We start from the raw sequence: 18,711 nt of genomic DNA, 5'->3' as shown, positions 1-18,711 counted from the left end.
AAGCGGCACTGGCTTCTCCCTCTTGAACTTGTCCTTTGACCCCTTGGCTCCCATTCAGTTTCACAGAATGTAAGACTCTGCTCATTTTAATTGGGAAGAAGCCCAAGAGATGGAGCACCAGGTTTCAAACTGTGTTCCCAGGGGTCCAGGGTCCGCAGGGGGCTGACCCCCGCCTCTACTGGGATGGTGTGCCTTTATGAACCTTCTCTTCTTGCTGTTGGAGGAGACAGCTGTGATACCAAATCCCTGGAAGCACGTGCACAAAAGCTCACCAAATTTAAAACTGAGCTCTCCCGCACCCCACTTTGCTACTTTGAGACATCGTCATCCATTCAAAGGGTTTTATCACTGGATGAAACAACCATAAATCTGATTTGATCCTTGCTGAAAGGCTGAAATTTTAATTGGTCTTTGTCCTTCAAAGTCCTTCTCACTTTTCTTTTCACTTGTCAGGGTTGAGAAGCAATTAACTCCCCTCCATCGTACAAATTCTAAATAGGTTTCACTTACTTCCTTGTTTCCCATCCATCGCCCCCAAGTAGGATCGCCCCCATGAAGGGGGTCTGTTTTGTTCACTGCTGTATTCTGAGCACACAACAGGCACGACAAATATTGATTTAATATTTATTTTAATTAACTAAATGTAGCAATTTTAATAGTAACCATAGCACCTACTATGGTCCAGGCCCTGTTTACACATGTGATGTGTGTTAACTCACCCAGCACTCATATCCACCCTTGGAGACCAGTCCCATTATCCCCATTCTACAGATGAAAAAACAAAGGCACCACTACACTTGCTACCCTGGATTCACAGCATCTTCAAAGCCCCACCCTCGGTCCCTGGCTCACTTGCTCTCCCTTCCCTGGAACAACGCCCTGCTTCCTTTGCGCCCCTGCCAGCTTCATGGCCTCTTTCTCTGCTCCTGCAAGTCTCGGAGCTGGGGGAGCTGGGGGAGCTGGGGATTATCTCGCAAACTGCATTTTACAGATAAGGAGGCTGAGGACTGACAGCTTCCTGTCTAGTTGGGGGAATGAGGTGGAAAGAAAATGACAGCCAACAGCCAAGTCACTAAGGGAGGCCAGCAGATGCCCCAGGAGAGTGAGTGGCCATGGCTGACCACAGCAGGCAGGGGCTTCCAGGAGGAGGTGACAGCTCTCACAATGTCTCAAGTCCTCCAAAGAGCAGCAGCCCACAGCTTTGGGGTCTCAGCCATTCCTCCCACAAACATAAAAAGAGAAGGGGCCTGGGGTCTCTCAGATTAGCAGACACACCTGCCCACCCTCTGAGAAGTGGGTCTGTGAATTTCACTGGCCTGTGGCCAGCAGCAGCAGGCGAGGTTTTAGGCACAGACATCAAGCTGGACAGAGTCGTTCCCCACATGGGACTGTACCTCAGCAGCCTGTCCCATCCTTCCCCGGACGCCAGGGCGGAGATCTGTAACTTCCCTCCTCGCAGGAAACAGAGCGGCAGCCCGGCCGGCTTGGTTTGTTGTTCTCAAACGGTTATGCCATGCACGCCCAGCCCATCCAAGAAGCCTGTGGGTCGCCTGGCTCCTGCTTATCACTGAACCAGCCTGCCCAGGGCCCCGCCCCAGAGGGTTCATCCTCTGCTTCCCCCAGGCTGAGAGGTCCACTCTGACCATCAGTGTCTGTTTCACTGAGAAACCCTATGCTACAGTAATGATGATGATGATGGTGAGAGCTAACACTGAGTGCCAGGTACTCCACAGTCATTAATTCACATATGCAAACCTATGCCACGGACAGCATATGAGGTCCATTTTACAGAAGACAAAACTGAAGCTCAGAGAGGTCACCTAATGTGCCCAAAGCCTTACAGTCCCCAAGTGTAAGGTTTTGTCATCAGAATTGTGTGTGGGTGCCATCTCCGACACTAGCTCTATGATCCATGGCTAGTTACATAGCTGCTCTGTACCTCAATGACTTCATCTGTAAAGTGCGATACTGGTGCCCAACTCACGGGCTTCCTTGGCAGGCTGAATGAGAAAGCACCTGGCAAGTAGGGGCTCTTGATAAATGGCAGTTATTAGTATTTATTGTTATTAATAATATTCATGATGAAAAGAGATTCAGAGTTGTTTGGGGACAAGGGTATCAGTTACCCAGGGGCACCTGGGCAGTGTCCATCCAGGAGTCGAAAGAGCACAGGCTTTGCAGTTGGCCTGACCTGAGTTTGAACCCAGCTACCATGTCCTGCTGTGTGACCTTAAGCATCAGCGGAGGCATCGGGGGGCGGCCCCGGGGGTCCCCCATGCCCACAGGTGCCTCCTCAGAACGGGAGCCGGCTGGGGCTCCTCCTGACCCTCTTTGATACCGTGCTTCCTGAGGGGAGTGTGTCCTGTTCCGCTTACACCCCAAGGTGGAAGGGGAGCTGTCTGGCCGTCCCTGGAGAGCTCTAGAGAAGGCCCTTCCCAGGTCCAGGCTATAGGGAGACCCACCCTCTCCCAGCACAGCCACGTGCCTTCTTTCCCACCCTCTGCGTCAATAAAGGCCAGTTCTGGGGAAAGCTTCAGCCCCGCATCTGCTCCATTCCCAGCACATGCCTGGAAACACCTGCAGCTGGCTGGGCTCTGCCCTGCGTCCCTCCAGCACTGGGCTGGCAACCGAGAGGGGAAGGATGAAAGACGAGTCTGAAATCACGGCTGGAGACCCAGGAAGAGGCAGCTCCCACAGTCTGAGGCCCCGGTAACTGCCCCCGATTCCCCCGGTGACTGCTCAGCAGGCAAGGACCGTGCCTGGAGGGAAGCTTCTGGAACATTCTTCATCCAGGTGGACAGGGGTGTTACCTTTGAGCCAGGGACTCTGGCTCTGACCTCCCCGATCACATGGTGAATCACATTTCCACATACTCACACTGGTTGTTTTTTTAATTAAGAGATTTTAAAAAAACGGCTAATAAATAAGTCATCTTCCCTAAGACTTCCTGAGAAGCACCAGTGTACAGGCGAGGCCTGAAACATGAAACGGCGGGTGACAGGCCGCGTGAGTCACAGGGCAGGCCTGGGCCCTGAAGCCACGTGGGTCACCTGCAATCCCGGTCCCGGCTGCTGTGTGAGCCAGCAGGTGACTCGCCCCTTTGAGCTCTGGTCTCCTCAGCTGTGGGTTCTGCGACGTGCGTGTTGCTTCGTGTATGTTAGGCCCTCATATTCGGCAGTTTGTTGCTGCCATTGTTATTACTGTTGGTGTTTATATTAACTGTGAAGCTCAGTTTTCCCATGCGGAGAGTGGGAACGAGCAGACCTAACTCGCCACACTGCCGGAAGATTCAACAAGGCTGGGCCCGGGTGGCTTGCGCCATGCTGGCTGCTGTCCTGATGCCCTTGTCATCGTCACCATAAAGAGGACAGCCCCTTGAGTCACACGGTACACACTATGTGCCCCACTCCAAGTGCTTTATATTTCGTACTTCGTTTAATCCTCACAAAGACTTGAGGAAGTGGGCGACATTCCCATCTGCATTTTATGGTCCAGACAACAGGTAACGACAGGTAACGACAGGTAACGACAGGTAACGCGGAGGGTGAGTGACCCCAGAGCTCCGGCCTGTGCACCTGGGCACAATAACCCCTTGCACAGATGGCCCCAGTCCAGCTCCCACTGCTGCCCTCAGACTGCACTCTGATGCTGGGGGAGGGCCCTAGAGGAGAATTCGGTGTGGTGGCTCCATCACCCCTGAAGTGTCTGTGTGCCGGGACCAGGATCAAGGCCCTAGGTCCTCTGTGAGGACGTACAAGACCCTGGAGGGGCAGGAACTCGGGTCTCCCAGCTCCAACCTACAGCTTCCCCCGAATCAAGCTTCCAGTGACCCCCGCCAGCGGCTCCTCCCTGCATTCTGGTCCTTTCCAGCCCAGAGTCCCTTCCAGGGGCGCAGGGAGCAATGCCCTCCTACTAAAGGGGCATCTGCATCTTCTCGCTCACGGGCCCTCCTCTTCGGCCGCTCCCTTCTCTCTGTGTGTCTGTCTTTCTGGGTCTCTCTCTCCCACGTACCCCCACCCCACACAGCTCCCCGTAACCCACTCTCCCTTTACTCCCCATTTCTCCCCGACCCCCCACGACAACTTCCGCCTCCCCTCCTCTTCCACATCCTGCCTCTTGTCCTCCTTATCCCGGCTGCCTGCCGTTTCCGTGGTCTATTTTTGCCAGCCTTTGTCTTTGTTTCTCTTCCCCCCTTTTTCTCCAGGGCCCTCCCTTCCCTCCCCTGTTTTGCCTCCTCCTCCCAAGGCGCCTTTGTCCCCAGGCCCTCTCGAGGGCCTGCATAGCCTGGCCTGGCCAGCAAGGCCCGGCCCTGCTAGCAAGGCCCAGCCGGCCAGCACACTCGCTCCCGGCCACCGCGATGCCACTGAAACCCCTCCCTGCTCTGCAGCCAGAGGAGGAAGGGAGAGCCTGGGCAGAAGGGACACTTTTTCATCTTCATCGCTAACAGAAGTGCTCATGGCTGAGTGGCCACGGACAGAGGGACAGAGGACTCAGCCAGGAGCTGAAGGCACTCAGGCATGTGTCTCAAAGCCAGCTGTTGACTAATAACACTGAACACTGCACCATTTTCAACACGTGAAGTTAATTTAAGAAAAAAATGAAAAACAATGACACCCGGAGAGGACATGGCAGTGTTAAAATAAGGACGCTTGCACCCTGTGGATGGCATTACAGATGGGCTCCACTCTGCGGGAAAGCAAGAGAGCCTCATCGATATCCAAAGCCATCAAAATGTTCATACCCCTGTGGCCGACTAATCTCCCTCCTGGGAATTTTTCCAAATGATCTTTCATCATCAAAAGGAAAGGATAAAAACGCTACAGGCACGCAGATATTCACTGTGGCACACTCTATTGAGGAAGAAAAGCAGGAAACGGCCTTAGTATCTAACCAAAGGGAGATGGTTTCATGAAAAATGGTGTGACACAAAAGATGACCACGTGGCCACTAAAAAGCTTCCATCACGGCGAAGACTAGGTAAAACGTCATCTCCGCTGATGACGGTAGAGGAGAAAATGGAAAGAAACCAGCATGTTCACTGTGCCTGTAATGACATAAAAGTATGTGTACAGATGGGCCAAGACCAAGAGGAATAAGTGGAAAATCGATACAAGCAATCCTCAGTAGCCAAATCCATCCAGCTCCCGAGTTCAGACAGGGAAGGGTGCCAAATGATCCAGATCCACGTGATTGTGGAGTTGGGGACGTCAAGCGGCAAGAGTTCGCCAAGTGAGGAATTTATCTGAAAATACATCCAAACCCATTCAGCTGGTGTATACTTGGGTAGGGTAGGATTTCCATACTTGGGTGAATTGTATGAAGAGGTTTTTTTCGTCTTCTTTTAAATTATCTTCCATGTTCCACTGATACTGTTTTTGCAATTAAATAAAGGAAAATCAGAATTCTCGTGTCCAGGGCTTTGGAGCCCACAGAGGGCTTTCCCACACATAATCTTCCCTGAGCCTCACAAAAGCTCTGTAAGGAAGCAGGGCAGGGAGTTTTACTAACCCCGTTTTTACCAAGAAAACGAGGACTCAGAAAGGGTGTGACTTGCCCAGAGTCTCACACAGCCATGCGGTGACAGAGACGGGACTCAAAAGGCAAGGGCTGGCCCAGCCCTGTCCTCACCAGGCTCTTGTAAGGCCAACCCCAGACACCGGCACTCCAGCCCCCTAGACATCTCTGGAGCTGTCGCCCTGTGATGGGTGACACCGTTCCTGAGCCCTCACGAGGATAATGCCTGCAAGGGTAATGGCCAGACCCCACATGGGTCAGGAACAGGAACCCACCACAAAACCCCTACCCCAGTCTCTCAGCTCAGCCCGCGCAGCCCAACGAGAGCCAAGGCTATGCAGTCAAGCAGTCACCAGTTCAAATCTCGACCCCTCCACTGTGTGCAGGCTGGACCCCTTGGAGCCTCCACACAGCCAGGAGAAAAACTGGCATTACACAGGGGAAACTCTTAGGATCACTAGATAAAAGGAGAAAGTGTGTATTCTGCACCCAGTTCGATGCCTGCCCCATCTCAAGTGCTCCCTATGCCTCCGTGTCCTCCTTGGGGCCTGTGCATTTGCTCTCCTTGTCTGGAATGTTCTACCCAGACACCCCAGGGTGGCTCCCTCCTTCACCCTCCTTAAAGTTTCACATCAAGTGTTAGCCTGGTAGAGGACTGGCCACGCCACAAACACCTGCTCCCTTTGCCCTGTGTGGGTCTTGTCTTCTTCAGGGCCCTTATTCCCCCGCCATGCTAGGCATTTGGTTTTTCGTTTTTGAGACAGTCTCCCTCTGTCGCCCAGGCTAGAGTGCGATGGCGTAATCCCGGCTCACTGCAACCTCCACCTCTCGGGTTCAAGCAATTCTCCTGCCTCAGCCGCCCGAGTAGCTGGGATTCCAGGCACACACCGCCACACTCAGCTAATTTTTGTATTTTTAGTGGAGACAGGCTTTCACCATGTTGGCCAGGCTGGTCTCGAACTCCTGAGCTCAAGCAATTTGCCCAACTTGGCCTCTCAAAGTGCTGGGATTACAGGCATGAGCCACCACGCCCGATCCATGCTAAGCATTTGTATGCTGGTTTGTTACAATAGCATCAGGCCTCTGCACTGGGCTCTCCTGACCACGAGAACAGAAACATCATTCACTGTGATGCTATATTCCTTGCACACAGTAGGAGCACAGAAAACCAATGAATTAACTACTAACTGGTAGTGATGACTCTGTCAGAGAGGAACAGGAACCTTTAGCTACACCTAACCTCTTACAGCCCCTGAGGGATGTCAGGCTCCTTGGGACACTACAGGCCTCTGGCACAGGCGTGCAGGCGTGTCCACAGGTCTCTTGCCCTCTCTCACTTCCCCTCTCACTCCCCAGGGACCCAAAGAGCACCAGTCCAAAGGCTGGTACTGAGAAGATATCAAGAATCCCGGTGGCCGGAAACACATAAAAAACTGTCTTTCTGCAGCAGAAACTGCAGATTTCAGGACATCACTGGATTCTGAACCCCTAGAAAAGGTCAAATTCCTAGCACTGGAGAGCTGGGGAAGTTCCCGAGACTCTCCTTCCCCTGTGCCTCCTCCTGCCAGAGTTGGCATTTGCCAAAAGCTCCCAGCGTGAAGGGCCCTTCGCTGGGCACTACGCACACATCGCACATCAGCTCTCTCCCCCTCCCTGAACGAGCCTGGGCAGTGCCGTTTCACAGAGAAGGGAGGGGGGCTCCATAAAACCAGAAGCAGGAGCCAAGGCCATCCCACAGCTGGGTCCTGGGAGAATGGTGGCCTCGTGGGTCTGTTTGGTGACAGGGTGTGCTGGGTTCCTGCACTCTGAAAGTCACACACTTGTAAAGTCTTCCAGACCTCCGGGTACAGCGGCACTTTTGGAAAGAGGGACTCACAAAGGAGACCTCTCCTGCTGGTCTCTCACCCAAGCCCCTGCACCCAAGTGATGTACCTGAATAATACGCTCTGACTACCGAGGAGAAAAAAGTACCAGTGTATTGTGGTACTCCTTTCCTCAGGGCCTGGAGCCTCTGCAAGTAAAGTCCCCCTCTGTGGGGAACAAGCACTACCTCCCCTCTTCACCCACCAACTCCAGCTCCTCCTCTCCTGTGCACATAGAAGTCACCTCCTCCAGAAAGCCCTCCCTCACCCCTCAAGTCAGCCTCTGAGTGCACCATCAGCATCTGTATGGGCACATCGTACCCCTCCTTGCCCGCCTTTCCTCATGCCACCAGCTAGGGATGTGAGCTCCCCAAGGCCTTGGACCAGCTGGGCCTTCATGGGTGCATCTCCTGTGCCTGAGAGTATGGCCAGGACAAAGCAGACAATCAAACTGAAAAATGAATGAATAACAAAAGAATGAACGAATAGAATGAATGAAAGCAGAAAGAATGGGAAGAGACTGAATGAAAAAAAAAATGAATGAAAGAATGAAGCATGAATGAAACTCACAGGAAGGTCTGAAAGGCCATCTCTTCCAGTGCCTGCCAGAGACAGGAAGCAAAGTCCAGCATCAATGACAGTGGCTCACATCTGATTCTACAGTGGCAACTACATCGCTCTGCCAGAGATTATTCTCTCCCCGTCTTCCAGATCACACTGGGCCTGCAGAACAGCGAAGAGCCAGGAGCTGTGGGGAGAGTTCCCGAAGAGGAGTACAGAGGTTCTGTGCCCTCCCAAGGCTCTCCTGAAAGTCACAGGAGCCTCCCTGGTGCTGCGGTAAAGCAAGGAAGCTGATGACTGCCCAGGAGTGCCACCAAGGAGAAGGGGCACACAGAGAGGGGATGGGGGAAGGAACAGGCATGTCACCCTTATAGCAGTCCCAGGAGACGCATATATCCACTGTTTCGGGGAGAACCAGACACAGAGGAGGCCAACAATCAAAACCTGCAGGTGGAATGAGTGGATGACTACAATGATGGCTAACAGCACACTCCCTCCGTGCATCGGGCCCAGTTCTAAGCACTTCATACGTATTACTCATTTAATCCTCCCTGCAACCCAGTGAGGTAGACACTATTATGCCCAGTTTAGAGACAGGGAAACTGAGGCACAGGGACTCTCAGCGGGTGACCCAAGGTCACCCACTAGGAAGTGGAGGAAGTGGAGGAAGAGGAATTTAAAACCCATGCAGACTGGCTCTGGAATATGAGCCCTTAACCCCCTACGGTCGCACTCTCTCAGCTTCGGTGTGCTACGGTCACGGAGCTAATCAGAACCATAACAATAATAACAATGTACTCATCTTTAGTATGCTAAGGTCATGCAGCCAATAAAATAAAAGTCATGCAGCAGTCTCAGTTTACTATGCAAACGGCGTCTTGCCAACAATAATAAACAATAAAACAACAATAAATAAAAATAAAATAAAATAATAATTAAAGTAAGATGCGAGGCTGCCAGGGCATCCCAATGGCACCTCCAGGTTGCAAAGAGCAGAAGCCGAGAGCAGTCATTCCATGCAAGAAGAGGCATTCGAAGATCGTCTAGTAACCGTGTTTGCAGAGCCGGAACATCCTTTTTGTTTGTTGATAGGGGATTGCTCTGAGATGCTGCTGGGCTAAGCCCCCTGAAGCTGCTCTCTGGCACCACAGCTCTTGAGCCTTTACTCCGTGCCAGGCACCAACCAAACACTTTGCATGGGTTTTTTCCTTTAATCCTCACACAGACCCTGTGAGAGTGGTGCAAGGAAGCCACAGTTTGCACATAAAGCAAGCTGAGGCTCAGAGTGGTTAAGTGACTTGCCCAGTGTCACAGAGCTAGGAAATGATATCTGAACTCAGCCGCTCTCTGACCACAAAGCCCAGAGCCTTGCGCTCTGGCTCTGGCTTCCTTCGCCTTGGGAGAGGAGTTGCTGCCTGGAAGCCACGCGGGCCATGCTGCCCAGCCTGCCCATTCCCGCCAAGCCGGCCCGCTTGGCAGGCCACAGGCTCAGAACCCCTCACTTCAAAGTGATTCACCCTCAAGGGCTGTGTGGTTTGGTCTGGGGCCTCGGGAGTGGAGCAGTCAGAGCCCCACTCGGCCCTGACCACCCAGGTTTGAAGCGGGTTCCTCAGGACCTCAGGAATCCAGGTGCCAGCTCGCCGTGACCGCCCGGGACAGCCTTGCTTAGCAGAGGCCACCATTTCTCAAGAAGTCACGCTGGGGCTCCCAGGTAGAGCAGTGAGGCTCAGGAGGCAAGGGAGGGTGGGGAGGGGGCACCCCAAAGTAGCCCCCACACCCCCCCCGGTTCACTAGAAGCCTCACCCCTGCAGGGCCTGTTCTGGTTCTCAGGGCCCCCCATGACCAGAGGCCAAGCACAGCCCAGCAGGCGTCCCCTTCTGTTTCTCCGAGGCCTGGTGTCCAGAGAAACGAAGCTGCGCCAGCTGCCCCCACCCCAGTCCCACGCTCCCTCCAGAAGCTTCCCTCACGGCGCTCAACGCCCAGTGCGGTTATCGCCTGCCGTGCGCCTTTGAACCCCAGGAGGCCGGGGAGTATGGAATGTGCGATGCCTGAGGTCAGAGCTCCAGTTTGATTTGAGCTGGGTTGAGATGAGGGGAAAATGGCCAAGAACAACTCACTCATTTACTTCATTTCCAGACTTGGCGGCTGTTGGGGCCGGGCTTCCAAACCAAGCTGGCTTTGGCCAGGACATCTGCAACAGTGCCGGCCACCAGGCACAGCTGGATTCGCTTAGGGAGTTAAGAGCCTTCAAGGTCTCTTAAGAAATTAGTTCCTGGGGAGTCTGGCTCTCTCTGGGGACCGGGCAATGGGCCGGCCCACTCCAGCCTCACCTCCTGTGGCTGAGGACACCCGGAAACTCTGCGGGACTGGAGGGACTCGGCGGTCTGCTTGGAGAGTCACTGTGTGCACTCAAGTGCAAAGTGGCCCGGCCCTGGGCACCCCTCCTGAATGAACTCCAGCGAGGACCCGAAGTGCAATTTCCTAGTTGCCACTGCGTCTCAGGGCCTAGGACGTATGAGGTGAATTAGAAAAGAAACCCAAGAACAAATGGATGATCCTTGGTTTCCACATCTGTCAAATGGGCGCGATCATATCTACCTCCCAGGGCTGCTCTGAGGCCTAGTGGATGGACGAAACAGATGCAAGGCCCTGAACACAGAGTGCGCATGTTTGTCTCTGAATTAAGTCCATCAACTCCAGATCTCACAGCCACTTCTTGGGAACCTGAATATCTCTGAGAAAGCCTGGCTGTGATGGAAAAGCCTCCCTTTCTTCCCCTAAGCCCGTTCATGTGAGTCTGACACACCAGCTCGCTCTGGCCAGCAGGCAATGAACGTGCAAACCAACACGCCAAGAACAGAGTGATGGCCTTGCGTGTGGCCTTTGGGAGCCCCTCTCTGCCTGTCAGGCCGGGTGCCAGGCTCTCACGCCCAACCCCTCAACCCTCCGCAGTAGGTCTGGGAGCTTAGGATCATCGGTCCCATGACACACTCACAGCGCCTGAGTGACTCATTCGGGGAAGTGGCAGAATCCAGGGGAGAGCTGGGTACTCCCACCTCTACAGTATGGTGGTCCAAGCAGGCCACGTGGTGCCACCCCAGCTCTATCATTCATTAGCAATACCACCTCCAGCAAGCTCTTTCGCCTCAGCTTCCCCTTCTGCATTTGGGAATAAGACTACCTATTTCACCAGGTTGTTCCCTGTCTATGAAAAATTGTACTCACATAACTAAATAACACCTAAAATTCTCAAAAAAGGATCTGGCATATTATAAGTGCTCAGTTAATGTTAGCTCTTACTGTTATTTCCACGGGCTGCGTAAACATACAGCTAAATAAATAGGCCATCAGTTCCCACTGAGTCGGGAGGGACATCAGAAGGGCTGTGGTAAGAAATTACCTCCAGTCTTCCGAATGGGAATTCTCCACCCAGGCCACACTGTAGAATCACCTGGGGAGTGTCTACAAGCTGGGACGTCCAGCAGTCCACAGGCACAGCTGGTTTGCATTTTCATGAACCAGAACCACTTGCAGTATTATCAGCTTTCCACAATTAGAGTTGTAAAATAGCTCAAAGAAAACAAAAGGTAGAAATAGCTCGGATGAGTGAGCTAGACAACACACCCAGGAATCTTTCTCCACCCATTTCAAAGTCGTTCGCAGTATTTCTTGACAGATATGAGCTCACAAGGAGATGGATGGAGAACATATTATACTAGGAAAATTTAGGAACAACTTAAATGTCCATCAACAGGAAAGTAGCTTAATACATTCTGGTATACATACGCAATAGAATACTCCACAGCTATTCAAGCAAATGATGTCGGAATAAAAAATAAGACGTCTGAGCCCCATACACAGCAAATGAATCTCAACCTCTGGGGGTGGAGTCAGGCATCAGGACATTTTTTAAGCTCCTCAAGTAATTCCAATGCGCAGCTCAAGTTGGAAACTGCTGCTCTAAACTCGCCCAAGAAAGCCTTGGACAGAAAAAAAAAGAGGTTTTCAGGGGTAGGAGGAGGAAGGCAGGAGGGGAGGGAGGGAAAGAGGCAGGGAAGAGGGTATATCTGAGCAGACCCCACTCCTAGGAAGGGGATAAGGACAGAGGAATAAGGAAGCCAAGAGTTAAATGAATGAGGACACCCGGGCAGGCAAAGATCAAAGGTAGAGTGAACCCCACACTCGTTTCAGAAGCCCACCTGGCATCTTCCAGCCCCATCCAGAGCACGCCGAGTACTGGATGCGCACAATGTTTCCATCGCTTAGCGTCTACAGGAGTCCCATCAATGGCCTTAAACTAGCCGGGTCTGTGCGCACCAACTGCAGCAGAGAGCCGGAGATGATTACCCAATGACCCCACTACAAAAACCCACTCCTGCCTCAAGTCCCCCACCCTCGTGGCCCAAGGGGGAAGAGGAGATGCTTGTACTGGGCGGGGAGGTTGGTTTTGCAGCCAGGTGATCGTTCTCCACCAGAGTCAAAATGGAGCCCAACCTGCAACACCCTGCGTTCGGCGCCCAACCCGTCTACCCTTCGTCGGGGAGACGGGTTGCCATGGCAGCCACACATCCCAAACCTCGGCCAGAGCCAGGGCTTTCTGAGCTGCACCAGGCCTCCTTCACAGGCGGTTTTGGCTTCCCGTGCCTCCCAGAACTCTTCCTCGAGCTGGCAAGTGGAACTCCACCCAGCTGCTGTGGCCTTTTCACCAAATCTGACTTTGCCAGAAGGAATGGGAACGGGCGAGGTCCGCCAGGGAAGGGCGACTTCCACCTGGTGGGCCCCTGAGCTGACCTGGAGTTGGTGGAAAAAGATGATGGCCAAGGACCTGAAACTATCTCGGTGACTTGGCAAAAACGCTATCTGGTTTGTCCGCCAATGAATCTCACATCTCGCAGAAACCCCAAGACACAGTAGGTGTTTAACAAATATTAACTAATTTATTAAGCTTGAAATGATTACATACAGGATTGAACTAAACTGGATGCCACCTTACACAAGTTCCCAGTTTATGACAAAATATGTTGGGTGGAAAACATAAAATGCAGACAATTCCATCCCCTTAATTTCAGTCCTTTGATTTGGATAAAGATCGCCACTATCTGCCTGGACAGATAACATGCTGCAGGACGGGTTGCGAAATTCTAGAAGCAGAGTTTATAAACCACTGTGCTATATAAATAGCAAAAGCCATAAGTGACCAACACTGAGGATAGCTGGAGGAGGGGATGGCCGAGAAAGGTCCCCAGACTGGACTGTGGGCAAGGCTGCTACTCCAGGCAGCAGGCCTCAATGGGCCCAATCAATCCCCACAAAACAGTGGGCAGCTGGGGGAGGGTCAGGGAGAGGGAGAGGAAGAGGAAGAGGAAGAGGAAGAGGAAGAGGAAGAGGCTGCGGGAGGGAGAGAGGCAAGCCAGGAGGCACTTCGGTCTTCAGAGCTGCCACTTTCCTGAATGTATTAGAGCAGACACAGCTCTCTCCTCTCCCTCAGAGTTAACGGCCAAAGTTCTTACAAGGCCCTACACCATCTGACCCCACTAGTGACTCACAGAGCTCACCTCCTGCCACCCTCCTCAAGGCACATTCTGCTCCATCCACATTTACCTCCTTGCATTCCTAGAAAAAAAACCAGGTAAATTGCTGCCCCAGGGCCTTTGCACATGCTGTGGATGGCTCCTTTACCTCCTTTAGCCGCTGCCCCATGGCCTTTGCACATGCACAGCTTCCTCCCTTACCTTTTCCAAACCTGCTCAAGTGTCACCTCTCATCCAGATTTTCTTTGGTCACCCTATTCCAAAGGCCACCACACACAGACGCCACACCCTCCCCATTCATACCAATACTTCTGTCCTCCCTCGTCTGATGGTTTCCTCCACAGCACTTAGTGGCAGCAGACAAGATTCTATATTTCCGTGTTCATTTTCCTCTCCTCCAGTAGAATGGGGGCTCCAAGTAGGCCAGGATGATGCCTGCTTTGCTCCGTGCCTGCAATGGTGCCTGGTGCACAGTGGACGCGCCACCGCCATCTGCTGAACGGACGAGCAAGCAGGCATGCCTGTGCACCAACAGCGTCCCATGACCTGCCTCGCTGACCCCAGGGCTGACCCTGTGAGTCAGGCCCTATCTCACCCCCATTTTACAGTTGGGAACGGGCTCAGCTTAGGATGTGGTGGAGTTTGGATTCAAACCCAGCCCCAGTGACTCCGAAGCCCGGGTTTGTCACCTTCTCCAGCAATGGGAAGATGCAGCCTGCATTTCCTGCCCAAAGCACATTATGCTCCTAGCTCTCCCTCTTCCTGTCACTGTGAAAGGGAAGCTCCTAGGTGGGGGAGGGGCAGGGGCTTCCCCAACACACACCGTCCTCCTGGGACACGCATGTCCACCAGGCTCAAGTGGGAACAGAGGTCCTCTCTCCAGAAGCTACTTAGCAGGTGACCAACTCCCAGTCTGCCCCATGACTTAAAAGGCCCTCTGCTGTCTCACCCTCCCCTCCAGGAGCTCCTCCTCCAGGTACTTAGGCGCCCAGCACCCCTCCAAAGCCAAGCACCCACTCACCTCCAGGCCTTAGATTGCCTGCCCACCAGCCTCACTCTCCCCTGCTATGATAGGCACAATAATGGCCCTAATCATCCTACTCCCTTCAACCTGTGACTATGTGGCCTGACATGGCAAAGGGACCCTTAGAGTTGCTTAAGCTGAGGATCTTGAGACGGAAGGTGCCCCTGAATGATCTGGTGAGCCCAGTGTAACCACAGGGTCCTTATAAGAGGCGGCAGGGACAGGCCCGGTAGCTCATGCCTATAATCCCAGCACTTTGGGAGGCCAAGGAGGGTGGATCACTTGCGGTCAGTAGTTCGAAACCACCCTGGCCAACATGGTGAAACGCTGTCTCTGCTAAAAATACAAAAATTAGCTAGGTGTGGTGGCGCACACCTATAATCCCAGCTACTCAGGAGGCTGAGGCACAAGAATCACCTGAACCCGGGAGGCAGAGGTTGCAGTGAGCCAAGATTGCGCCACTGCACTCCAGCCTGGGTGACAGAGTGAGACCCCCTCTCAAAAAAAAAAAAAAAAGAGGGAGGCGGGAGGGCCAGAGCCAGAGGAGATGTGAAGACTGAAGCAGAGGTTGGAGTGATGCTGCCACGAGGGAAGGAATGCGAGCAGCCTCTAGATAATGGAAAAGGCAACAGACCCTTCCCTTAGGCTTCCAGAAAGACAACACCTCAACTTTAGCCCCTACGAGACTCACTGTGGACTTCTGACCTCCAGAACTGTAAGATAATAACTTTGTGTTGCTTTAAGCCACAAAGCCTGTGGTCATTTGTCATAGCAGCCACAGGAAACTAGTGTACCCATCCCCCCAAGACCTCAGTTGAAACAGCACCCTCTGGGAGCCGCTCTGGCCCTGGCATGGCCCCATCCCACGCAGATGCTCCCTGGACTTCCTCTTTCATAATTATCTGTCAGTGTTACTTAGTCAAGCTCTGAAGCCATCAGCTCACATTCAATTTCAGTCTCCGCTTCTCACAAGCTGTGTAACGTTGGGAAAGCTTCTCAGCCTTCCTGAGCGGCCCTGTCCTCATCTGTTACACACAGTCGCTCAAGGCCCTCACCTGTACACCTGCCATGAGGCTGGAATGAGGGAGCTCATGCAGAGACAGGGCCCGGCACACCCAGATGAGGGTGACACAACAATCCGTACCACCTGCCAGACCATGAGGATAATGGAGACTGTGCCTGTCTCATCACCGCATATTCCTAAGAGCCCCAGACGGCGCCCAGCTATCAGGTCTCAACAATATTTGTTGAATAAATCATGAGTCCCACAGCCATCAAAAATCTCAAACGCAAATAGGAGGGACAAACCATGTGCAGCTGAGGGAGACAGCCGGGCCAAAGCCCTGAGGTGTGCACAGCTTCTCCAGCTCCATTCAATGGCCCACCACTAGTTCAAACTGGGCAGAGCAGCTCTCACCGATGTCAAAGCCATCCCGTGAAAACACTGCATTCAGCCTCAACTTTGGACCCCACCCTGACATCACACACAGGCTTCTTTCCCACTCTGCTTCAGCTGAGGTCCCCACCAGGAGGGCCAAGGGGAGACTCCCTCCATGATAAGTGAGGCAAACCACCCCCGTCCTTTCCCAACAATGTTGGGGAAACTGATGTCATCATAACAGTCCCCTTGCACAAGGTGGCTGTAAAGGTAAAATGAGAGAACGTGAATCAGTGCCTGGCATACAGCTGGCACCCCATAAATCCCAATTAGATAGTTTTTAATTATTTTACCCCATAGCAAACACATAAGTAGCAACAGGTGCCCCTTCCAAAATCACCTGCAAAACAACAGAGGGAGGCTGGAGCAGCAGAATGGGTCAGGGCTTTGGACTCAGGTGGAGATTTTATTATTATTTTTTGATACAGTCTCACTCTGTCGCCCAGGCTGAAGTGCAGTGGCACGATCTTGGCTCACTGCAGCCTCTGCCTCTCGGGTTCAAGCGATTCTCATGCCTCAGCCTCCTGAGTAGCTAGGATTACAGGTGTGTGTCACCACGCCTGGCTAATTTTTATATTTTTAGTAGAGATGGGGTTTCACCACGCTAGCCAGGCTGGTCTCAAACTCCTGACCTCAGGTGATCTGCCCACCTCGGCCTCCCAAAGTGCTGGGATTACAGGCGTGAGCCACCACGCCTGGCCTCAGATGGAGATTTGAAGCTGAGAGAGCTTGGGTAAGTTACCTGACCTCTATAACCTGTTTCCCTATCCACAAAATGGAGATAATATTACCTACCCCAAAGGACTGCTATGACCCAAGGAAATACTGCCTACCACTCACTCTCATGTTAGAATCGCTCGGAAAAGGCTATGGCCCAGACCTCCCCCAGACCAAAGCCATCAGCGTCTCTGGGGTGGGGCCTGGGTTTTGGGGGTTACGAAGATCCCCAGGTGATCCCATTGTGCGGCCAGGGCTGAGAACCACACATGCTTATGTGGACCTGGCACAAAGTAGGCACTCAAGAAATCCAAGCTTTCATCATTATTTCTCAGCTGGCCAGGATTTTCTTTCATTCATTCAGCATACATTTGTAGAGGGCCTAATATATGCAAATGCAAATCAAATTTAAAGTCATATGTTGGTTTTCAAGAGCCGGGGGTAGGGGGAAAGAGGAGTGACTGTTAACGGGTACAGGATTTCCTTCTGGGGTGACGATGTTTTGGAACTAGACAGAGGTGGTAGTGGCTAAATATCACTGAATTCTTCACTTTAAAATGGTTGATTTTATGTTATGTAAATCTCACCTCAACAAAAAAAGCAAAATAATAATAATCATAACCCAGACACGAAAAAGACAAATCCTATATTAACCCATTCATATGTGGTCCCTAAAGGAGTCAAAGTCATAGAAAATGAAGAGAGAATGGTGGCTGCCAGGGGCTGGGGGAGGGGGACTAGGAGTTAACATTTAATGGGGACAGTTTCAGTTTGAGAAGATGAGAAAGTTCTGGAGATGGATGGGGGTGATGGTTGTGCAACAATGTGAACGTACTCAATGAACTGCACACTTAAAACTGGTTAAAATGGCCCATTTTATGTTACGTGTATTTTATCACCATTTAAAAAAAGGTCACATGCTGACAGTCCCTCAAGACATTCATTGCCCACCTCAGCTACCTGTAGCCCCCACCTCCTTACCATAGGAGATGACATCTTCCCAGTTTTTCCAGGCGAGCAACTTCGAGTAGCTGACCGCCCTCTTTACAAACAGGATGGAGGCTACGCATGTGTTTTCTCTGTGGGGCAAGGCCAGATTAAGCAAAGAAAACACAGCAGCTCCTTCCCCCTCCCCCCAGGAAAAACCCTGTCCGGTCAATAGCAGAACTAAAGAGCTGGTGCACACTTTCACTTCCCACTCGAGTGCCTGAGGACCCGGCTTCTCCTAGGCGTCCAGCAAAGCCCAGACTTAAAGGTGGCAGGTGCTGTCCTCTCACCCTGCTTCGGGTGAGGACGGGTCTCCAACTGAGCTCCAATGAACAAGACGAGGCTGGGCTGGCTCCAGGAGGCAATTTCTGGCTGGGAGGTGGGGAAGAAAGACCCAGAAGAAGGGCAGGGTGTGACAGAGGGACCTGAATCCCAGAGCCCTGGGTCTCCTGCTCCCCTCCCTGAGTGCCTCTGGATATGGCGCTTCCAGGCTGGCCCTCAACGTCCACACCTATAGGAACAAGAGAACTGAATTCAAGTGGGAAAAGCAAATGGGTTTATCTCAGGTGCCAACTTCTTCCCACCGGGAGGCTCTGGGGTGGCTGCGGCTCTGCAGGGCACCAGGAGGACCAACAAGGGCTGGAGGGTGGAGGGGACCACACATGGTCTGTGCATTCACCATCCCTGCATGAGATCCCTTCCATAATTCCTCAATGGAATTCCATGAATGTGCTTTCTGGATCTAGAACGCACTCGGTGGCCTCCCTGACTGACACATGTCCATCTGACCTTTGCTTGCACACCTGCTTTCTCAGGGAGCTCACTATCTTCTCCGGCAGGCTGCTCCTCTCCATACAGGACGCCAAAATCTCGGCCCTACAACCCCTTCCCAGGAGCTGCTGGCGCCATGCAGAACTGTCGGCTCCCTGTTCTACTCTACGGCTTGCTGATACCTTACCACTCCCTCTGCCCCTGTAAAAGCCTTGCTTCCTTCCACTGTGCTACATGTGAGTGGCTTTCAAAGGATGGCCTGTTCCGGAAGCTTGAGGGAATGCCCACGCAATGTGTCTCCCTGAC

At 52.6% G+C, this 18,711-nt stretch overlaps 1 protein-coding gene across 4 annotated transcripts in view, besides 4 other annotated features; it reads right to left on the bottom strand.

Moving 5' to 3' along the window:
• The window catches only part of CMIP (c-Maf inducing protein), a 266,955-nt gene that overhangs the window by 214,874 nt on the left and 33,370 nt on the right, over nucleotides 1-18,711 (bottom strand). The window contains exon 2 of one of the 4 annotated variants that reach the window (XM_047434717.1): nucleotides 1,395-18,145. The exons of 2 other annotated variants lie outside the window; for them this stretch is intronic. In XM_047434717.1, the coding sequence (XP_047290673.1) occupies nucleotides 1,395-1,646 (252 nt within the window). In that variant the 5' untranslated portion in view covers nucleotides 1,647-18,145. Of the gene's footprint in view, nucleotides 1-1,394; nucleotides 18,146-18,711 lie in introns of those variants that run through there. One more of the 4 variants, NM_030629.3, reaches the window with a different exon arrangement.
• Nucleotides 2,712-3,445: an enhancer, noted in NCBI's record as "H3K27ac-H3K4me1 hESC enhancer chr16:81527049-81527782 (GRCh37/hg19 assembly coordinates)". NCBI's record gives its function as "activates a minimal SCP1, AML or CMV promoter by ChIP-STARR-seq in primed H9 embryonic stem cells {active_cell/tissue: H9 hESC(primed)}" and the evidence as "EXISTENCE:reporter gene assay evidence [ECO:0000049][PMID:30033119]".
• Nucleotides 6,897-6,966: an enhancer, noted in NCBI's record as "active region_11185". NCBI's record gives its function as "activates an Ori minimal core promoter by ATAC-STARR-seq in GM12878 lymphoblastoid cells {active_cell/tissue: GM12878}" and the evidence as "EXISTENCE:reporter gene assay evidence [ECO:0000049][PMID:35858748]".
• Nucleotides 15,645-15,714: an enhancer, noted in NCBI's record as "active region_11184". NCBI's record gives its function as "activates an Ori minimal core promoter by ATAC-STARR-seq in GM12878 lymphoblastoid cells {active_cell/tissue: GM12878}" and the evidence as "EXISTENCE:reporter gene assay evidence [ECO:0000049][PMID:35858748]".
• Nucleotides 15,745-15,834: an enhancer, noted in NCBI's record as "active region_11183". NCBI's record gives its function as "activates an Ori minimal core promoter by ATAC-STARR-seq in GM12878 lymphoblastoid cells {active_cell/tissue: GM12878}" and the evidence as "EXISTENCE:reporter gene assay evidence [ECO:0000049][PMID:35858748]".

The sequence above is a fragment of the Homo sapiens genome, chromosome 16, assembly GCF_000001405.40.
Source record: "Homo sapiens chromosome 16, GRCh38.p14 Primary Assembly".
Lineage (NCBI taxonomy): Eukaryota > Metazoa > Chordata > Mammalia > Primates > Hominidae > Homo > Homo sapiens.
The sequence above is the reverse complement of the archived record's forward strand: the minus strand, read 5'-3'. Positions and strand labels throughout refer to the sequence as shown.